The sequence below is a fragment of the Homo sapiens genome, chromosome 17, assembly GCF_000001405.40.
Source record: "Homo sapiens chromosome 17, GRCh38.p14 Primary Assembly".
Classification (NCBI taxonomy): domain Eukaryota; kingdom Metazoa; phylum Chordata; class Mammalia; order Primates; family Hominidae; genus Homo; species Homo sapiens.
The window spans coordinates 39,308,687-39,332,039 of NC_000017.11; the positions used below are offsets into that span (position 1 = coordinate 39,308,687).

The following is a 23,353-nucleotide window of genomic DNA, read 5'->3' on the forward strand; positions in this document are numbered from 1 at the left end:
CCTGAGTAGCTGGCACTACAGGCGCCGAACCACCACGCCCGGCTAATTTTTTGTATTTTCAGTAGAGACGGGGTTTCACTGTGTTAATCAGGATGGTCTCAATCTCCTGGCTTCCTGATCCACCCGCCTCAGCCTCCCAAAGTGCTGGGATTACAGGAGTGAGCCACCGCACCTGGCCTACAATAAAAAATTTTTTAAAAGGTAGAGAGGAATACACCCATTCATACAAGTATTATAGGCATAGCCTTGAGGCTTCTGCCTCAGCCTCCCAAGTAGCTGAGATTACAGGCATGTGCCACCACGCCTGACTAATTTTTGTATTTTAGTAAAAGCCTTGAGGCTTTTAAAAGTCTAGGATTCCTTATTAAAAAGTTCCAGCAAAGCCATTTTTTTTAAAAAGGGTCTATATGGCCAATCACTATTCTTGTTGCACTTTATGCAAATAATCAGGCCAGATATAATAGGACTAAAAGTTACTTTGCACACAAATTGATTACTACAATTTGTCTCTGATAGAAATAAGGGACTGAAGAGAAAAATATTATGCTTCTAAAGAAAACTATACCTTGTATCAGATTCCAACCCCGACCACTGTTTTTGAGTTATCGTCTATAATTCAGACTGAGTCCTGAATTATCTCTAACAGTGGCCTCTAACAAACCTGGATATATATATTTAAAACCTTGTTTTCATGGATCCCATCAGGAATAAGATCTATTTTTGAAGGATTACTTAAACTAGGACTTATACTTCTATACATGCTGAGATTTCTCTTCCTTCTTGTCAAGGTCTGTACCTGCTGTTTGTCTATTATTTTTATTTTATTTATTTATTTAGAGACAGAGTTTTTGCTCTGTTGCCCAGGCTGGAGTGCAATGGTGCGAGACAGCTGGATCACCTGAGGTCAGGAGTTCGAGACCAGCCTGGCCAATATGGCGAAACCCCGTCTCTACTAAAATACAAAAATTAGCCAGGCGTGGTGGTGTACGCTGTAATCCCAGCTACTTGCACAGGAGATTTGTTTGAACCTGCGAGGCGCAGGTTGCAGTGAGCCGAGATCATGCCGCTGCACTCCAGCCTAGGTGACAGAGTGAGACTCCATCTCAAAAAAAAAAAAAAGAAAAGAAAAATAAAGAAAAGAGAAAGAAAAAAAAGAAGAAGAACAAGAAAAAACAACTTAGGCCAGGTGTGGTGGCTCACACCTGTAATCCCAGCATTTTGGGAGGCTGAAGAGAGCAGACAGATTGAGACTGAGCCCATGAGTTCAAGACCAGCCTGGGCAACAGGGCAAAACCATGTCTCTACAAAAAATACAAACTACCTGGGTGTGGTGGCGTGTGCCTGTAGCCTCAGTTACTCGGGAGGCTGAGGCGGGAGGATTGTTTGAATCAAGGAAACAGAGGTTGCAGTGAGCTGAGATCGCCCCACTGCACTCCAGTGACAGAATGAGACCCTGTCTACAAATTTAAAAAAAAAAAAAAAGAAAAGAAACGAAACAACTTGCTGAAACTCCTTCTGCTTGTAAGATCACAAAACTGGGTGACATCAGCTGGAACCAATGTGTCCAACTGGAGTCTGCATAGAACCAGTTTGCCGATGTCACAGCTAGAATTTCCATCACGTTTCATACTAACTTCCCCTGAATTTGCACATGCAATCCATGACGTAGCATGAAAAGACAGCCATGCATGCCTGAAGACTTTCCAGACCTCCCCTTTCCTTCCGCCAGTTACCTAATCTAAGAATTCATCCCCTAAACCTTTTCTAATAAAATTAGTGCATTAAAGCCAGCACAGGGCAACAGATTTGAGCTGGACTCCTGTCTACGTGTTAGTCGACTTGCAATAAAAATCTTTCCTTTACTCAAAAACTCAGTGTCGGGTAGGCACAGTGGCTCATGCCTATAACCCCAGCACTTTGGGAGGCTAAGGCAAGGAGGATTACTTGAGCCCTGGAGGTTGAGACCAGCCTGGGCAACACGGTGAGACCCTATCTCTACAAAAAAACACAAAAATTAGGCTGGGCTTGGTGGCTCAAGCCTGTAATCCCAGCACTTTGGGAGGCCAAGGTGGATGGATCACTTGAGGTCAGGAGCTCAAGACCAACCTGATCAACATGGTGAAACCCAGTCTCTACTAAAATACAAAAATTAGTCAGGCATGGTGGCACACGCCTGTAATCTCAGCTACTTGGGAGGCTGAGGCAGAAGAATCGCTTGAACCCAGGGGGGCAGAGGTTGCAGTGAACTGAGATCGCGCCACTGCACTCCAGCCTAGGCAACAAAGTGAGACTCTCTCTCAAAAATTAAAAAAAAAACACACAAAAAATCAGCTGCGCATGGTGGTATGCACGTATATGTAGCCCCAGCTACTCCAGAGGCCAAGGTGGGAGGATCACTTGAACCCAGGAGTACGAGGTTGCAGTGAGCTATGATTATGCCACTGCACTCTGGCCTGGACAACAGAGTAAGCCTGTTTCTAAAAAACAAACAAAAAAACAAAACCCCGTGTCACAATATTAGTTTTGAGTGCATCAAGCAGCAAGCCTCTTTTGCTCAGTAACAAAACTTTTGGCTTTTAAATTTAGCTGCTGCAGTATTTTATCTTCTCCTTACCTGTCATATTATTTATTTTCCCTTCTTTCATTACACTTTACTGTCCTTTTAAGCATTTCTGATTTTTTCTTATTTTTCATCTCTTTGTTTCCAAGTCTTACCTGGGTTCTCTATTAAGACTCTTTTTTCTTTTCCTTTTCAGTTTCTAAGTGGCAGGCAAGGGAGGGTATCAAATAACCAGGAAAGGTTGTATGTCTTTCTTCTTCCCTTGAGACAAATTTGCTACCACCCTGATGGTTCTCCTTAATAAATTTTCTATCTTCTTCAATATTGATTATCCAACTCCACTCCCAAATAAACATATATACTTCCAATCTAGGTAACTCAATTCCCAAAACAAAAAATTTATCTAATGTAACAAACATTACATTGATGAAATGCTGCTGCTTTTTCCTGTCATTCACTAAACTGTACTTTTATGAGGAGCTTCATAATCTAAAGATTCTTAGGTTTGCCAAAACATCACTAACTCCTGAGCAATTTTTATAAATATTATATGGGGGTGGCAGGAGTCACAGGTGAGAGGCTTTACAAGCAATGATCCTAATTAGACTTTAGTAACCTTTCAAGAGAAAGGTTCTCTATGAAATAAAGCACAATAGACAGACATGAAACATCAGGTTGGTAGTCAGATGTGTGCAGACTTAGGAGTACCATTAAACACACATCTCAACAATCCTAATTCTGTTCTTAGAATGTCCTGAAGGGGTTCTAAGTATTAAGATGTCATTGAGTTAGCTTTTCACTTGGATTTGAACGTTTTAGAGCATTTAAAAAATTAAGAGGAGAAGACAAATATAGTCACTATGTTCCTCTATTAAAGTAGTAAGAACTGGCCGGGCATGGTGGCTCACGCCTGTAATCCCAGCACTTTAGGAGGCCGAGGCAGGCGGATCACAAGGTCAGGAGTTTGAGACCAGCCTGGCCAACACAGTAAAACCCCATCTCTACTAAACATACAAAAATTAGCTGGGTGTGGTGGCAGGCACCTCTAATCACAGCTATCGGGAGGCTGAGGCAGGAGAATCGCTTGAACCCAGGTGATGGAGGTTGCAGTGAGCCGAGATTGTGCCACTGCACTCCAGCCTGGGAGACAGACCTATACTCCATCTCAAAAAAATAAAAAGTAGTAAGAACTTAGTCTTTACAGTTCTAATCTGGCTCCCTAGTAAGATGGATATAAGCCTCAGCACTTAAATCCCTTCTACCACTCTACATCTAGTATGTCTAAGTATTTGCTATTATTTAGCAACCCTTTAAATTCTATCTTTTTTTTTTTTTTTTTTTTTTTGAGATGGAGTCTCACTCTGTCCCCTGGGCTGGAGTGCAGTGGCACAAGCTAGGCTCACTGCAAGCTCCGCCTCCTGGGTTCACGCCATTCTCCTGCCTCAGTCTCCCGAGTTGCTGGGACTACAGGCACCTGCCACCACGCCTGGCTAATTTTTTTTTTGTATTTTTAGTAGAGACGGGTTTCAATGTGTTAGCCAGGATGGTCTCCATCTCCTGACCTCGTGATCCGCCTGCCTCAGCCTCCCAAAGTGCTGGGATTACAGGCGTGAGCCACTGTGCCCGGCCTAAATTCTATTTATTCCATATATTTGATAATGAAGATAGTTACTTTTTTTTTTTTTTTTTTGAGATGGAGGCGCATCCTGTTGCCCAGACTGGACTGCAGTGGCGCGATCTCGGCTCACTGCAACCTCTGTCTCCCGGGTTCAAGCGATTCTCCTGCCTCAGCCTCCTGAGTAGCTGGAATTACCGGCGCGCACCATCATGCCTGGCTAATTTTATTATTTTTAGTAGAGATGGGGTTTCACCATGTTCGTCAGGCTGGTTGCAAACTCCTGACCTCATGATCCGCCTGCCTTGGCCTCCCAAAGTACTGGGATTACAGGTGTGAGCCACAGTGCCCGGCCATCTTTTTGTTTTTTTCTTAATTTGTATTTTTTCTGAGATGGAGTCTCACTCTATTGCCCAGGCTGGGGTGCAATGGCGCAATCTCGGATCACTGCAACCTCCACCTCGCTAGTTCAAGTGATTCTCCTGCCTCAGCCTCCCAAGTAGCTGGAATTACAGGCGCCTGCCACCACGCCAGCTAATTTTTGTATTTTTAGTAGAGACAGCGTTTCGCCATGTTGGCCAGGCTGGTCTCAAACTACTCACCTCGAGTGATCCGCCCGCCTCGGCCTCCCAAAGTGCTGGGATTACAGGTGTGAGCCACCTTGCCCAGCCGAGATAATTATCTTTAGAAACCAAAATAAAAGAATTGGTGGGGTAGGCTGCCAGGGTTTTAGCTACTACAGCAATTATTTTTTTCCCTCATAACAAACATTTATTTATTTTTACTTTTTTGAGACGGAGTTTTGCTCTTGTTGCCCAGGCTGGAGTGCAATGGCACAATCTCGGCTCACAGCAACCTCTACCTCCTGGGTTCAAGCGATTCTCCTGCCTCAGCTTCCCGAGTAGCTGGGATTACAGGCATGCGCCACCATACCCAGCTAATTTTGTATTTTAAGTAGAGATGCGGTTTCTCCATGTTGGTCAGGCTGGTCTCCAACTCCCGACCTCAAGTGATCTGCCCACCTTGGCCTCTCAAAGTGCTGGGATTACAGGCATGAACCACAGTGCCCGGCCCAAAATTTATCTTTTAAAATACACACTTTAAAGTGCATAATTCGGTGATTTTTTTTAGTATATTCACAGTGTTGTGCAACCATCACCACTATGTAATTCCAGAACATTTCAACAATCTCAAAAGATTCCCTGTACCCATTAGCAGTCACTCTCTATCCCTTCCTCACCCAAACTCCTGGCAACCACTAATCAACATTATTTCTCTATAGATTTGCCTATTCCGCACATTTCATATAAATGGAATAATACTGTAATGAAGACTTTTGTGTTGGCTTTCACTTAGCACATTTTAAAGAATATATCCATGTTGTTGCACGTATTCATACTTCATTCCTTTTTATGGCGGAATAATATCCTACTGTATCCATTCTCCAGTTAATGGACAATTGGGTTATTTTAACTTTTTGGCTATTATGCTTTTTGTTTTTTCAGAGACGAGTCTCACTCTGTCACCCAGGCTGTCACCTGGCTGTAGTGGCGCCATCCTGGTTCACTGCAACCTCCTCCTCCCAGATTCGATTCTCCTGCCTCAGCCTCCTGAGTAGCTGAGATTACAGGCACAAGGAACCACATCCAGCCTTGTGCCTGTACAAATTTTGTATATATAGTAGAGACAGAGTTTCACCATGTTAGCCAGGCTGATCTGGAACTCCCAACCTCTAGTGATCCACCTGCCTCGGCCTCCCAAAGTGCTGGGATTACAGGTGTGAGCCATCACAACTGGCCAGTTATGTGGTATTTCTATATTTAGAGATTTTAGAAACTGCCAAGCTGTGTTCCACAGTGGCTGTACCAGTGTACACTGTAGTGTACATTCTCACGAGCAGTTTGTGAGGGTTTTAATTTCTCCATATCCTTTTCTTTTTTTTTTTTTTTTTTGAAATGGAGTCTCACTCTGTGTTGCCCAGGCTGGAGTGCAGTGGCACGATCTCAGCTCACTGCAACCTCTACCTCCCTGGTTCAAACGATTCTCCTGCCTCAGCCTCCCAAGTAGCTGGGATTACAGGTGTACACTACCACACCCGGCTAATTTGTGTATTTTAGTAGAGACGGGGTTTCACCATGTTGGCCAGGCTGGTCTCAATCTCCTGACCTCAAGTGATCTGCCCACCTCAACCTCCCAAAGTACTGGGATTACAGGGTTGGGCTACTGTGCCCAGCTTAATTTTTGTATTTGCACTAGAGACAGGGTTTCGCCTTGTTGGCCAGGCTGGTCTCGAATTCCTGACCTCAGGTGATCCGCCTGCCTCGGCCTCCACATCCTTGACAACACTTTTTGATTACAGACATCCTAGGGAGTGCGAATTGGTACCCCATTGTTGTTATGATTGGCATTTCCCTGATGGCTAATGATGTTGAGCATCTTTTCACGTGCTTATTGAAAGCAGTACGCTTTTAGTAAGGTTTTCACAAACTACCTCAGGAGGGAAGATTATTAATGGGCAAAGTTTAAATAATTTATATATATATATATATATAGTACATGTCTTTAAAACATATATAGGTACACGTTTTCTTCCTCTTCCTTTCCTTTGTTGAAAGAGTCAGTTCTAAAGCCATTAGGAGGGGCATAGAAAGGTAGGTATCAATGCCAGGTTAGAGGTTGGGTGCAGAGGCTTGAACAATACGTCGGAGTCCAAGCAGAGTGAGGAGAGGACCCTTGAGGAGGGTGACCTAGCAGGAGATACTGGGATACAAGCAGGGTGAATGGGCAGCCTTGGGTAGAGTGTCAAAGTAAGGTGAGAAGGGCATCCACACAGAGGATAAACCTAGTGCGGGCTTTAGAACCCAAGCAGGACTTTGTCCGTGCAACAGGAGGAAGGTGGCATGGCATGAAGTGCCCAAACCCAATGAAGTGAAGAGGGGATCTTTGAGAGAGAGTGAGAGAGAGAGACAGAGAGAGAGAGAGAGAGAGAGAGAGAGAGAGAGAGAGAGAGCAACTGTAGAGCGAAATTGGTTAAAATCAGGGGAACTGAGTAAATAATAAAATACATTAACCATAATAAAGATGGGCAAGGTGGCTCATGCCTGTAATCCCAGCTTTTGGAAAGGCCAAGGTGGATCACTTGAACCTTAGAGTTCAAGGTTACAGGGAGCTGTGATCATGCCATTGCAGTCTAGCCCGGTTAACAGAGCAAGATCCTATCTCTAAAAACAAAAAAACATGAACCACAACAGAAGTTAGGTTTCTGTTACAAAGGGAGATGTGAATCTGGAAAGGGAGAAAACTAGACTAAATTATGCAGTGTTGGATTGGAATTGGAAATATCAGTGTATTAATAGAAACATAGTTATCAATATATACAGATATAAACATACATGTAAATTGTGTACATATATACACGTGTTCATCTACATATACACACACACACACACACACATTTTTTTCTTTCCCCCCGAGCTCTGTCTACTAAGAGGGCCTGGAGCAATAACCCCTCAATGGCAATGGTATTTAACTCCCAGATACTGGCTTCTAAACATTTCTTTCTAGTAGAAGGAATCAGGGCTCCTTGGAGAAATAGGGCAGAGAAAATGTACGATGAGCCTGGAACACCTTGTGATAGAAAGCAAGTGAGTGCTCAAAGAATGATGGGGACACGTCAAAAAGTCATGGTAACCAGCTTGAAGGGGCTTCCACTGGCCAAATCTGGGACAACCTGAATATGAAAACAAACGAGAGCAATGAATTACAATTTACTAAATAAAAAAGGGAAGCCATAAGTTCAGACTGATGTAAATTAATAAACTGAAGTTTAAGAAGAATGGGACGGCTGGGCACGGTGGCTCACGCCTGTAATCCAAGCACTTTGGGAGGCCAAGGCGGGGGTGGGCCACCTGAGGTCAGGAGTTCGAGACCAGCCTGGCCAACATGGCGAAAGCCCGTCTCTACTGAAAATACTAAAAATGAGCCGGGCATGGTGCTGGGCGCCTGTAATCCCAGCTACGCAGGAGGCTGAGGAATGAGAAGCACTTGAACCTGGGAGGCGGAGGTTGCAGTGAGCGGAGATTGCGCCACTGTGCTCCAGCCTGGGAGACAGAGTGAGACTCCATCTCATTTAAAAGAAAATGAAGACAAGAATAATTAACCAAACATAAGATGTTCTTGGATAGCATAATTTAATATCTTAGAAGATACCAATACTTCCCAATGTAATTTAATTTCCTGATTAAATGTCCAATATATGAATTGAATCCAAACAGATTTTTGCTTAACGAAAAAAATTGATTCTGAAGTTGATATGGATGAAAAATGTGTGAAAATCACCAAGAACTTATTAAAAAAGACAAAGAAGAGCTGCTTTTCTTTCCCCCCATGAGACAGAGTCTCACTCCATCACCCAGGGTGGAGTGCAGTGGTGCTATCTTGGCTCACTGCAACCTCCGCTTCCGGGGTTCAACTGATTCTCCTGCCTCAGCCTCCTGAGTAGCTGGGATTACAGGCATGTGCCACCATGCCTGGCTAATTTTTATATTTTTAGTAGAGATGGGGTTTCACCATGTTGGCCAGGCTGGTCTTGAACTTCTTACCACGTGATCCGACCGTCTCTGCCTCCCAAAGTGCTGGGATTACAGGCGTGATCCACCGTGTCCGACCAAGGTGCTTATTAAAATGTACAAAAATTACTGAATTCCAAATAATATGGTGATTATAAAGAAGGAAAAAAAATGATGGAACAAAACAGGGCATCCAGAAAGGCCCCAGATACATGTAGGAATTTAATACATAGGAGAGTTTGACTTTGTTTTTTTTTTTGTTTTTTTTTTTGTTTTTTTTTTTTTTTTTTGAGACGGAGTCTCACTCTGTCACCCAGGCTGGAGTGCAGTGGCACGATCTCGGCTCACTGCAAGCTCCTCCTCCCAGGTTCACGCCATTCTTCTGCCTCAGCCTCCCCAGCAGCTGGGACTACAGGTGCACGCCACCACGCCCAGCTATTTTTTTGTATTTTTAGTAGAGACGGAGTTTCACCGTGTTAGCCGGGATGGTCTCGATCTCCTGACCTAGTGATCCGCCCTCCTCGCCTCCCAAAGTGCTGGGATTACAGGCGTGAGCCACCGCTCGCGGCCTCACTTTCAAATTAGTAGGAAAATAATGAATTATTTAGTAAATGGTGTTAGGAAACCTCATATTTGAAGAATGTAAAATCCCTGCCCTCAAGCCATATAAAAAAAAATTCCTATGATAGCTTTATTGGCAAAATGTTGACAATTATTGAAGTGGGGTAACAGGAGTTTCATTATACCATGTTGTCTACTTTTGTGTTCGTTGGAGTTAAGAATTCCATGAGAAAGAGTAGATTTTAGTGGATAAGAACAAAGGAAGGCAGGTTGAGTTTTTGGAGTATGCCTAAAGAATGAGAAGCTGGTCTGCATCTTTGATAGGATGTGGTAAGAATCCTCAACAATAGTCTAAGACTATCAGAATTCCACATAGCCAAGTCCTTGGAAAGCCCTTAACCTTAAAAGTGTTCTGTGCCACTAAATTTTCTGTTACGAACATTTTACCACAATTAAAAAAACAAAACAGGCCAGGCACGGTGGCTCACGCCTGTAATCCCAGCACTTTGGGAGGCCAAGGCAGGCAGATCACCTGAGATCGAGAGTTCGAGACCAGCCTGACGAACATGGAGAAACCCTGTCTCTACTAAAAATACAACATTAGCCAGGCTTGGTGGCGCATGCCTGTAATCCTAGCTACTCAGGAGGTTGAGGCAAGAGAATCGCTTGAACCAGGGAGGCGAAGGTTTCAGTGAGCCGAGATCATGCCACTGCACTCCAGCCTGGGCAACAAGAGCCAAACTCCATCTTAAACAAACAAACAAACAAACAAAGCAAAAACCTTCTGTACCATAATGCTGAAATAGTTCATAAGCAACTTCCTCTTCTTCTTAAATAAACCCAGAAACTCCCTAAAAAAGAAGCTCATAGCAAAATGTAAGCGGAAATCTCCTTATTAAAATACTGAGAAGTCTTTGTTATTTCCAACTTAACAATCAGCAAAAATTTTATTACAAGACAATATTAAAAAGAATTCTGAGCCGGGTGTGGTGGCTCACGCCTGTAATCTCAGCACTTTGGGAGGTCGAGGCAGGCAAATCACGTGGTCAGGAGATTGAGACCAGCCTGGCCAACATGGTGAAACCCCGTCTCTACTAAAAATACAAAAATTAGCTGGGCATGGTGGAGCATGCCTGTAATTCCAGCTACTTCGAAGGCTGAGGCAGGAGAATCGCTTGAACCAGGGAGTAGGAGGTTGCAGCGAGTTGAGATCGCATCACTGCACTCCAGCCTGGCAACAGAGCAAGACTCCATCTCAAAAAAAAAAGAGAGAGAGAGAATTCTGCCTCTCAGAGAATTATTAATGTTTAAGGATAGTTTTTCAAATTTCAGATAATAGCAACTCTACATTCTAAGATTACCTTACAAAATGGCCACTAAAGCCCAATGAAGAGAGATTTAAAAAGGATAGCAGGGCTGGGCACGGTGGCTCACGCCTGTAATCCCAACACTTTGGGAGGACGAGGTGGGCGGATCACAAGGTCAGGAGTTTGAGGCCAGCCTCGCCAACTTGGTGAAACCCCATCTCTACTAAAAATACAAAAATTAGCTGGGCGTGGTGGTAGGCACTTGTAATCCCAACTAGTCAGGAGGCTGAGGCAGGACAATTGCTTGAACCTGGGAGGCAGAGGTTGCAGTAAGCCGAAAGCATCTGGCCTGGGCAACACAGCAAGACTCCATATCAAAAAAAAAAAAAAAAAAAAAAACTATAGCAGAGGGCAGAACTGGGAGGAGGTAGTGAAGGCCAGAAAAAAAAAAAAAATAGAACAGCAGGGACATAAATCTTTTCATTATTATTTTTAAAATAGAGACCGGGTCTCGCTGTTGCCCAGGCTGCTCTCGAACTCCTGGCCTCAAGCAATCCTCCCACGCCAACTTCCCAAAGTGCTGAGATTGCAAGCATGAGCCACTGTGCCTAGCCAATCCTTTTACTAAGTCTAATACTGTGTATTACACTTACTTTGACGGGCTGATTTTAATTGAAAAACACACAGATGGTAATATACATACTGTAAAAAGTCCCTTCTGTCCTTGAGACAGTCACTGTTGCTTATTTATTTTCCCATGAATTTTCTGTCCCTACAAACAACATACATACACGTACACACAGATTTTGTTTCTTATATAAACTAGTTTTGTAACTTGCTTTGTTGACACAATAGATATGCAAATAATTTTTTATCAAATACTGTCTGCCTCTTGAAGAATTCTGTGCAAAATTTGGTAGATCAACTATCTATACTTGCCTTGTTAAAAATCAACTTAAATTTTTTTGGTATCAAGTAAAAATAATTAAAAAAATATGTTTATAGCTACTTTAAAATTTTAAAAACCCTTTAATTTTTGGAGGTGGATCTCTATTTGATCATACTTGCCTGTCTGCCTTCATCCATTCCCTCCTTCCTGAAGACAGTAACAGAGGCATAAAAGATAAGTGGTATATACTGACCTCACAGCACGGTTTACCAACTTCTGACTCTAAATATTTCACACATAACTATTAGCATAAGAGGCTTTTGAATATAACTTGTATTATACAGATGGAAATATTAAAGCTTAGACTGATTTCTGATAGTGCCCTGTCCAGAATGTCTAGTATGAATTTTTTTTTTTTTTTTTTTGAGATAGAGTTTTACTCCTGTTGTCCAGACTGGAGTGCAGTGGCAAGATCTTGGCTCACTGCAACCTCCGCCTCCCAGGCTCAAGCGATTCTCCTGCCTCAGCCTCCCAAGCAGCTGGGACTACAGGTAAATACAACCATATCTGGCTAATTTTTGTATTTATTGTAGAGATGGGGCTTCACCACGTTGGCCAGGCTGGTCTCAAACTCCCAGGGTTCAAGTGATCCACTGGCCTTGGTCTCCCAGAATGCTGTGACTACAAGCCGTGCTCGGCCCAGTATGAATACTCTACAACAAAAAGTGACTAACAGCCACACGTAACTCAGAAGACAATATATAGTTTTAATAAAAATCTTTATTTCATATTTTTATGATTGCATTTGCTAAGTTCTTTTTTTGTTTTTTTCTCTGAAAGAAACTAGTATGTATTTGTTAAGTTCTTGGTTGCCTATAAAACAATTCTGCTCCAAAATATACAGTGAACATAAGTGAAAACTTAAGAATACTCCCAGTATATTTTTGAAGTCCACAGTCGACATGCTGTATAAAACTAATCAGTCAGCCAGGAACGGTGGCTCACGCTTGTAATCCCAGCACTTTGGGAGGCCAAGGTGGGTGGATCACGAGGTCAGGAGTTTGAGACCAGCCTGGCCACCACAGTAAAACCCCATCTCTACTAAAAATACAAAAATTAGCCGGGCACGGTGGCAGGCACTTGTAATCCCAGCTAGTCGGGAGGCTGAGGCAGGAGTTGGAGGTTGAACCTGGGAGTTGAACCCAGGAGTTGGAGGTTGCAGTGAGCCAAGATTGCACCATTGCACTCCAGCCTGGCAACAGAGCTAGAATCTGTCTCAAAAAAAAAAAAAAAAGAAAAATCAGTCTAGGGCCAGGCACGGTGACTCATGCCTGTAATCCCAACATTCTGGGAGGCCGAGGTGGGTGGATCACCTGAGGTCAGGAGTTTGAGACCAGCCTGGCCAACATGGTAAAACCTCATCTCTACTAAAAATATACAAAAATTAGCTGGGCATGGTGGCAGGCGCCTGTAATCCCAGCTACTTGGGAGGCTGAGGCAGGAAAATCGCTTGAACCTGGGAGGTGGAGGTTGCAGTGAGCCAAGACTGGGCCATTGCACTCCAGCCTGGGCAACAAGAGTGAAATTCTGTCTCAAAAAAAAAAAAAAAAACAAAAATAACTGATCAGGCTATAGTCATTTCCTGAAGTAAGCGTACTATGACTGAAACTACCTGATTCAATGTTTGAATTTAGTACAAGGAAATCAGTTACCATATTCCTAAAAAATCAGTAATAATTGGTAATTCTAAGATAAATACTCAAATCTGTCCCAGTTAGAACCAGCAGTAGATATTTCATTTGAACTTGAATTAATTCTTGATTTGATAATAATAATGTCTTGCTACAAGACTAACCACAAGACCAAATGCCTAGGCCGAGCATGGTGGCTCATGCCTGGAAGGCCAAGGCAGGAGGATCACTTGAGGGTAGAAGTTCGTGATCAGCCTGGAAAACATAGTGAGACACTATCTCTACCAAAAAAAAAAAAAAAAAAAAAAAAAAGCCATGCCCCATGCTTAATTTCAGTTGTTTCATGTGTGCATATGTGTTTTGTGGGGAAATAATTATTTTTAAAATACTTTGAGACTAACAGACTAAAATATTCAAATGTATAATTATATGGAAGTGAGCTGTTTTACAATTAAATAAATTCTTTAGGTAATGACATATGCATCAACATATTAAACTCCCAAAAAGTTTACAAAAAGCTGCTGTTTCTCCAGAACATCTAAGGTGAATACATAAACTGAGTATTAAAATGTATGTAACCTGATACCTGTGAACATATAAATTTTTAATTAAAAAATTTTTTAATTTGACTAAATACTAAGATTGAGAAGTGTATAAAAGTTAAGTGGATCGTTATATTGAGTAGTTGATTACAAATTCTCATGAGTAGAATACTCCCGTTTACCTTGTCCAGATGCTCAAGCACTCTGTGTTAACTACTGGGGGTTGTGAGAATTCTCTCTTTCAGATAGGTAAAGCATGTTTTGATAGGAACACATATCTATAATGAGTAAAATAATGAAACTACTTCTGTAACCCACATAGGAAATAAAAAAAACAAACAACAAAACTCAAAAGTTAACCTCATTAATGTTTTTATTTATTTATTTTATTTTTTTATTTTTTGAGACAGAGTCTCGCTCTGTCATCCAGGCTGGAGTGCAGTGGTGCAATCTCGGCTCACTGCAAGCTCCGCCTCCCGGGTTCACACCATTCTCCTGCCTCAGCCTCTCAAGTAGCTAGGACTACAGGCACCAGCCACCACGCCCAGCTAATTTTTTTTTTTTTTTTTGAGACAGAGTCTCACTCTGTCGCCAGGCTGGAGTGCAGTGGCACAATCTCGGCTCACTGCAAGCTCCGCCTCCAGGGTTCACGCCATTCTCCTGCCTCAGCCTCCCGAGTAGCTGAGACTACATGCGCCTGCCACTGTGCCCAGCCAATTTTTTGTATTTTTAGTAGAGATGGGGTTTTACCATGTTAGCCAGGATGGTCTTGATCTCCTGACCTCGTGATCCGCCCGCCTCGGCCTCCCAAAGTGCTGGGATTACAGGTGTGAGCCACCACACCCAGCCTTAACCTCATTAATTCACAGCTTTCCAGAAAAAGCCAAGTCATTAGGTGTCCCTAAAGTTCTTAATTATATCCAGTACTGTGTCAGAGAGGAAATTCAGTAACAATATAAAATATCTGCTTTTCAGAAGCATATATTCTTGTTGAAGAAAACAGTAGACACTAGGCAGCTTATTAAGCAACATAATGTGTGACCTGAAAATATAGGTGCTATTGAAAGTAATGAAACAATGAGATCAAGATGGGTGGGGACAGTTAAGAAGGGGGTTTTCTCTCATCACCTCTTTCTTCTTTACAATCTAATTCCGGTCTTTACTCAATTGCAATTGTACCTTGAAGAATACTACTGACTTAATTGTCAAGGCCTTACTATTCAAAGGCCTTTTTCAGTTTTCAATAAGCCTCACCCCCTTAAAATACAGGACACACCGACCATTCCCTACTTATTAAGAATCTCTTCTCCTGGCTTCTCAGACACCACCTTGTTATGTCTTTAGTATACTTCTGTTTTCTTTTTTTTTTTTTGAGATGGGTCTCGCTCTGTCGCCCAGGCTGGAGTGCAGTGATGCAATCTCGGCTCACTGCAACCTCCCAGGTTCAAGCAATTCTCTGCCTCAGCCTCCTGAGTAGCTGGGATTACAGGCACCTGCCACCACGCCTGGCTATTTTTTGTATTTTTAGTAGAGACGGGGTTTCACCATGTTGGCCAGGCTGGTCTCGAACTCCTGACCTCGTGATCCAACCCCCTCCCCCCCCCACCCCCTGGCCTCCCAAAGTGCTGGGATTAAAGGCGTGAGCCACCGTGCCTGGCCTATACTTCTGTTTTCAAATGAAGGCATGTCCCAAGATTTAGTTCTTATTCTTACACTTCACCGTGTACTAAAGAACGGCTCATGAATCAACTGCATCAGTATACCTGGAGTGCTTATTAAAATGCAGATTCCTGGGTCCTAGCTCGGACCTACAGATTCCTCTAGGTGAGAGACCCAGGAATCTATCTTTTCTAAACATTCTCTCCAGGTGATTTTTCTTTTTTTTTTAGACAAGAGTCTCACACTGTCACCTAGGCTGGAGTGCAGTGGCAGGATCTCGGCTCACCACAACCTCCACCTCCCAGGTTCAAGCGATTCTCCTGCCTCAGCCTCCCAAGTAGCTGGGATTACAGGCACTTGCCACCACACCCGGCTAATTTTTTACATTTTTGGTAGAGACAGGGTTTCACCATGTTGGCCAGGCTGGTCTCGAACTCCTGACCTTACGTGATCTGCCCGCCTCCCAAAGTGCTGGGATTACAGGCGTGAGCAATGGCGCCTGGCCCAGGTGTTTCTTAATAATATTAAAGAGGGATCACCTAACTACTATAAAAACATTTATAAAATTGTGAATTTAGAGTTTGGCAATTCATTTTTTTTTAAAGAAAACTGCAGAACAAGTAGACATTTCTCTTTTAATCCTCCAATTAAGTTGTGAAATGTATCAGGATAGAAATGTGACAACAGTGCATTGCAGCAAGGTTTGATCATTAACTTACAAATTCTAATCTCCAGATGAAGATGAAATCTCTTAATCCAAATCCAACTGATAAAAAATGAATGTCAATGATGGCATTTGAGATTTAATACTCAAAAAAAGTCAAGGTCAAGAATCATTCTTTAGGCCAAGTGCAGTGGCTCACGCCTATAATCCTAGCACTTTGGGAAGTGCCAAGGAAGGTGGATGGGTTTGAGCTCAGGAGTTCTGAGACCAGCCTGGAGAATATGGCAAAACTCTGTCACTACAAAAAATACAAAAATTAGCCGGGCGTGGTGGCAGGCACCTGTAGTCCTAGTTACTCAGGAGGCTGAGGTGAGAGGATCACCTGACCCTGGGAAGCTGAGGCTGCAGCAAGCTGTGATTGTGCCACTGCAGTCCAGCCTGGATGACAGAGACCCTGTCTCAAAAAAAATAGTAGTAATAATCATTCCTCAGACAAAACTCTTGTGAAATGACTCAAAATGAAGGATGAGAATGGGGTAGAAAGAAGGTTGGAGTGGAGAGACATATCTTTTAAGTAATACCTTTTTGTACAGATCTGACTCTTGAAATAACATGTTTTAAATAATCAAACATAAAATTGGTTTCACTTCTGGTCACGGCTGAGTAAGCTTCCACTGAACTAACCTTCCAGGTACAATTATAAATTGGGAATGAAATATTAAAAATTACCACCTGAATGTATTGGAAAGTGAACAAAAACAGGTAGATATTAAAGGGAGAGGGGAATGACAATTTCTAGTTTTACAGCATTTATCCTGAGGGCAGGTTATATTTGGGACCCTCAGAACATTTAGAAAATGGATAGAAACCTGCAAAGGAAAACTAGAGAACAGAATTTGGAGCAACCACATTGTAAATTGTAGAGAGATCCAATGTGAGGCAACATAAATTCTGTTCAAATTACTGACTGACCTCTGAACACTGCACGCACAGGGCAGACTCCAAGCAGCTAAGGGTAAAAGAATTTAACTTATATTTGAGCTGGCACCCATGACAGGCAGTTTGGGTACAGCAAAGTTAACTATCTGCTAAAAAAAAATACACTGAATAAGGATAAGGAGAAAAATCCTGATATAGTTTGAATGTTTGTCCCCTTCAAGTCTCATGTTGAAATGTGATCCCCAATGTTGGAGGTGGGACCTAGTGAGAGGTATTAGATCATGGGGGCAGATCCCTCATGAATGGCTTAGTACTACCCCCTTAATCATAAGTGAGTTCTCCTCCAGTTGTTCATACACGATCTGGTTGTTTAAGAGTCTGGGACTTCCCTCTTTTCTCTCTTCCTCTCTTGCCATGTGATAAGCAAGCTCCCCCTTTGCCTTCTGCCATGATTAGAGACTTCCTAACTTCTCACCAGGAGTAGACGCTAGTTTCTGGTATAGGCTGCAGAATCATACGCCAAAAAAAAAAACCTCTTTTCTTTATAAATTACCCAGTCTCAGGTATTTAATTATGGCAATGCAAACGGACTGACACAAATCCAAAACTGAATACGAAAATAAATGAGTAAAACAAACTATATTCTAAATGAATAACCTAAAGAACTAATCAAAGTTAACTTAAAAAAAAATTCTTGGTCAGGTACAGTGGCTCATACCTGTAATCCCAGGCGTTCCAAGCCAGCCTGGGCAACATGGTGAAAACCCATCTCTACAAAAAAATACAAAAATTAGCTGGGTGTGGTGGCACCCACCTGTGATCCTAGCTACTAGGAGGGCTGAGGTGGGGGGATCACCTGAGACTGGGAATATCAAGGCTACAGTGAGCCATAATCACGCCAATGCACTCCAGCCTGCGTGACAGAGCAAGACCCTATTTAAAAAAAATTTTTTAGAGATGGAGTCTTGCTCTGTCACCCAGGCTGGAGTGCAGTGATGCTATCATATACCTCACTGCAGCCTCAAACTCCTGGCCTCAAGCAATCCTCTCGTCTCAACCTCCCAAGTAGTTAGGACTACAGGTGCACGCCACCACACCCGGCTAACATATATACACACACGCTTTTGTAGAGACAGGGCTCTCACTATGTTGCCCAGGATGGTCTTGAACTCCTGGCCTCAAACAATCCTCCTGTCTTGGCTTTTTTTTTTTTTTTTTGAAACAGGATCTCACTCTGTCACGCAGACTGGAGTGCAGTGGAGCATCTTGGCTCACGACAACCTCTGCCTCACAGGCTCAAGTGATTGTCCTGCCTCAGCCTCCCGAATAGCTGGGATTACAGGCATGTGCCACCACACTCGTCTCCACTAATTTTTTTATTTTTAGTAGAGACAACGTTTCACTATGCTGGCCAGGCTAGTCTTAAACTCCTGACTTCAAATGATCCACCCGCCTTGGCCTCCCAAAGTGCTGGGATTACAGACGCGAGCCACCGCACCCAGCCCTGTCTTGGCCTTTAAAAGTGTTGGGATTATAGCCATGCACCAACATACCCAGCCTCAAAGTTAACTTCTGAACTCAATATTTTCTTTGTATTATCAGGCTAAAGACAAAAAGCAAACAAAAAAGATAAATAATAAGCTCCAATTAGATTTTCTTCACAGTGATATGGGTAAATCACTTTATGTGCTTTCTAGGATTAAGTAAACATATTATGGAGTTATATTTCTTCCTTGGAGAAAGAAAAAAATACAGAAAGGAGGAGGGACAGAATGAACCCTAAGGTAATAAACTAGATATTATTGGAGGTGTCAATATGAACTAGGTATGTTTGCTTATGTAACAGGATTATCATAGTTTTTAATCTATCCAGCCACCTATACAGATATAAATATGGGCAGATATAAAATTACATAAGATGTACACACGCACCCCCCAAAAACCATATATTTATTAAAGTACATCCACAAGGAGACTTTAAAAAAAATACATCTACAACCAAACATGTATTTCTTTTTTGTTTTGTTTTGTTTTTTCAAGACGGAATCTCGCTCTGTCGCCCAGGCTGTAGTGCAGTGGCACAATCTCGGCTCACTGCAAGCTCCACCTCCCGGGTTCATGCCATTCTCCTGCCTCAGCCTTCCGAGTAGCTGGGACTATAGGCGCCTGCCACCACGCCCGGGTAACCAAACATGTATTTCTTAGCTCTGTCTTATGAGAAAGTCTAGAAGCAATGCCACTCAGGAGCAATGAGCATATCTAGAATAAAGACTGTATAGTTTCTGGCCAGGCAAAGTGGCTCATGCCTGTAATCCCAGCACTTTGGGAGGCCAAGGCAGGCGCATCACATGAGGTCAGGAGTTTGAGACCAGCCTGGCCAACATGGTGAAACCCCATCTCTACTAAAAATACAAAAATTAGCCGGGCGTGGTGGCGGGTGCCTGTAATCCCAGTTACTTGGGAGGCTGCGGCAGGAGAATTGTTTGAACATGGGAGGTGGAGGTTACAGTGAGCCGAGATCACGCCAACTGCACTCCAGCCTGGGCAACAGAGCGAAACTCTGCCTCAAAAAAAAAAAAAAAAAAAAAAAAAAAAGACTGTAGTTTATAAATACCATTCTCTACTAAAAAAAAATACAAGGGCTCCTTGGAGAAATAACTGATTCCAGGACTGAATCAAGGGAGGTGTAAGAAGGGTCTGAAACACCTTGTTGTGCCAGAAAACAAGGAAGTGCTCAATGAATGATGGGAACATATTCAAAGGACAAAGGACACAGTTGGAAGGGGATCCCACTGGCTAAATCTGAAACAGTTTGAGCATCAAAATAATGATAACCCAAATGAGATAACAATGCACTGAATATATTAGCAATCCATGAATCCATACGGATATAAACACAAACAAATAACAAAATGGAGTCCAAGAGAAAGCTCTTCTTTACAATGGAACTCCAACTAATAAAATGTGGAAGTAACGGTAAATTTAGAAAATCACAATCATATTGCAACTGCAATAGTAATAACTGTTTCAGGAAAGAATCAAATTAGTGAGTCAAAGTTTTATGAGAAACAAGATATTTACAATGTCATGGCTAGGCACAGTTGCTCATGACTCTAATTCCAGTGATTTTGGAGGCCCAAGGTGGAAGGACCACTTGAGGCCAGGAGTTCAAGACAGCCTAGGCAACATAATGAGATCCCTATCTCTACAAAAAATTTAAAAATTAGCTAGGCATGGTGAGGCATGCCTGTAATCCCAGCTACTCAGGAGACAGAGGTGGGAGGATTGCTTGAGAGCAGGAGTTCAAGGGTGCAGTGTGCTTTCACTGGCAACTGCACTTCAGCCTGGGTGACAGAGCAAGACTCTGTCAAAAATAAAATAAATACAATGTCTCAAAGTATTTTTACCATAGGACATTCTTTAAACAAAGGGAAAAAAAAGTAACATGACAACGAAAAAATCTGGCAGATACTCCTCAGACCTAATGATCAAAGCTGACATCACCAGTAAGAGGACAAACAGACATCCTATGCCTATGTTATGATACAGTTAGAAGGATACTACTTCTATGATATTCTAACCCAAATCCATAAGTTAAATTTAATAATGAAGGACATTCTACAAAGTAACTGGCCTATAATCTTCAAAACTGTCAATGTTGTGAAAGACAAAGACTGAAAAATTGTTGCAGATTAAATACATCCAAAGAGAGGTGACAAATAAATGTAATCTGAGATACTGGCTGGAACTGAATCAAGAAGAAAAATATTTTCCCCCTTTACTATAAAGGATATAAATGAAAAAATATTAATAACTAGAACAGGGTCTCTGGATTACATAACAGTACTGTGCCAATGCTCGTTATCTTCACTTTGATTACTGTACTGTGGTGTTTTGTATCTATCTATCTATCTTAGATATATATGTATATATAATGTTTTTGTTTTTAGAAAATACTGCAGCCTTTCAGGGGTAAAAAGCATCATGTCTATAACTTATCTCTAATGGTTCAGAAAAAAAACAGAGGGAAAAAAGGTCGGGTATGGTGGCTCACATCTGTAATCCCAGTGCTTTGGGAGGCCAAGGCAGGAGGATCACTTGAGGCCAGGAGCTCGAGACCAGCCTGAGCAACATAGCAAGACCTTGTTTCTACGAAAAAAAATTAAATTAGCCAGGTGTGATGGCACATGCCTGTAGCCCTAGCTACTAGGCTGGAATGGGAGAATTGCTTGAGTCCAGGAGTTTGAGGCTGCAGCAAACTATGATTGTGTCACCTGCACTCCAACCTGGGTGACACAGCAAGGCTCTGTCTCAAAAAAATCAAAAATAGGATGGGCGCGGTGGCTCATACCTGTAATCCCAGCACTTTTGGAGGTTGAAGCAAGCAGATCACCTGAGGTCAGGAGTTCAAGACCAGCCTGGCCAACATGGTAAAACCCTGTCTCTACAAAAATACAAAACAAATATTAGCCGGGCATGATGGTGGCTGCCTGTAATCCCAGCTACTCAGGAGGCTGAGGCAGGAGAATTGCTTGAAGCTGGGAGGCTGAGGTTGCAGTGAGCCAAAATTGTGCCATTGCGCTCCAGCCTGGGCAACAGAGCAAGACTCTGTCTCAAAAAATAAAAAATAAAAATAAAAAATAAAAAATAGGCCAGGTGCAGTGGCTCATGCCTGTAATCCCAGCACTTTGGGAGGTTGAGGCAGGCGGATCACATGAGGTCAGGAATTCAAGACCAGCCTGGCCAACATGGTGAAACCCCAGCTCTACTAAAACTACAAAAATTAGCCGGACATAGTGGCGTGTGTCTGTAATCCCAGCTACTTGGGAGGCTGAGGCAGGAAGACTGCTTGAACCTGGGAAGCGGAGGTTGCAGTGAGCCAAGATTACACCACTAACACTCCAGTCTGGGTGACAGAGCAAGACTCCATCTCAAAAATAATCAAATAAATAGATTAATTAAATAATTTGCTTTTAAAGAAAAAGAAAGAAAATGAGGGGCCAAACAGGGCCAAAGTCTCTCCCTGAGAGACTAAAACATCCAATGTACTCTAGAGAGTGTTTTTATTTTTCCTCCAGGAAATGGAACAATGAGCTTGACAATATTAAAACAGATGACTATTAGGCAGAAACAAACCAGGGAGAAAATAACATCCTACAGAGAGGCAGCATCCAATTTACAAAAGGAGTACATGTACAAAGTTTGTAAATTCTCCAAGAGAGATAAATGATGGTTAATTTGCCAGGCAAGCCTTTAAAAATAAAATCCTAAATTACAATACTAGGTACTATGCAAAGAGCTTGGGCCTCAAATCTTGTAGCATACCTGAATCAAAGTCCTTTTCCTCTGCCCACAAAAAGGACTCAACACAACAATCTCTCTCATGGGACTACACGCATGTGCCACCACACCTGGCTAATTTTTATTTTCGTTTTGTTTTGTTAAGACAGAGTCTCGCTCTGCGCCCAGGCTAGAGTACAGTGGCATGATTTTTTTACAGCCTCCACCTCCGGGGTTCAAGCGATTCTTCTGCCTCAGCCTCCCAAGTAGCTGGGATTACAGGTGTGTGCCATCATGCCCGGCTAATTTTTGTATTTTTAGTAGAGATGGGGTTTTACCATGTTAGTCAGGCTGGTCTCGAACTCCTGGACTCAGATTTTCTGCCCGCCTCGGCCTCCCAGAGTGCTGGGATTACAGGTGGGAGGTATCATGCTCAGCCTAATTTTTGTATTTTTTTGTAGATACAGGCTACTACTCTTTAAGTCACAGCTCATTTGTCTCATTTCTGGGGAAGCATTTTCTGAACTCTCCATGCTAGGTTTAAAGCCCTACATGTGAGATTGCTATAATGCCCTAGGCAAAACCTCTTTTCTAGCTCTATATTGATTATTTCCATGCCTGTTCTCTCTACTGCCCTGTGAGCTCCTTGAGGACAGTGATTGTTTATTTCTATCTTCAGCATAATGCCTGGAACACTGTAGGCACTCAACAAATGTTTGTATCCACATTAAAGTTTAAGGAAAGGTAATTTAATTATTTCTATACATCTAATGTCCCTCATAAAGAACATCGGTTGTCATCCCACATAGAGAAACTCTCCTAAATGACTAAATCTGTTTGTCTCTTCATTAACTAAACAGCCCTGCACTGTAATGGTTTGAATATTTCTATTACCAGTTTTTGTATTTTATACTTTTATATTTAATCCATTTGGCCTGCTACAACAAAATACCTCAGACTGGGTAATTTATAAACAGCATAAACTCACTTTATGGTCTATGAGTAAAAAGTAGAACCAATGTAACAATACATGCCTAACAATTTTATAGCATTTACTATGTGCCGAGCATTGTGTCCT

At 42.4% G+C, this 23,353-nt stretch overlaps 1 protein-coding gene across 6 annotated transcripts in view, besides 1 other annotated feature; it reads right to left on the reverse strand.

The window, feature by feature from the left end:
* FBXL20 (F-box and leucine rich repeat protein 20) overlaps positions 1-23,353 on the reverse strand; it is a 149,894-nt gene that overhangs the window by 56,024 nt on the left and 70,517 nt on the right. The gene's annotated exons all lie outside the window — the stretch shown is intronic.
* Positions 7,277-7,477: a silencer, noted in NCBI's record as "peak2834 fragment used in MPRA reporter construct". NCBI's record gives its function as "represses an SCP1 promoter by STARR-seq MPRAs in K562 erythroleukemia cells {active_cell/tissue: K562}" and the evidence as "EXISTENCE:reporter gene assay evidence [ECO:0000049][PMID:32103011]".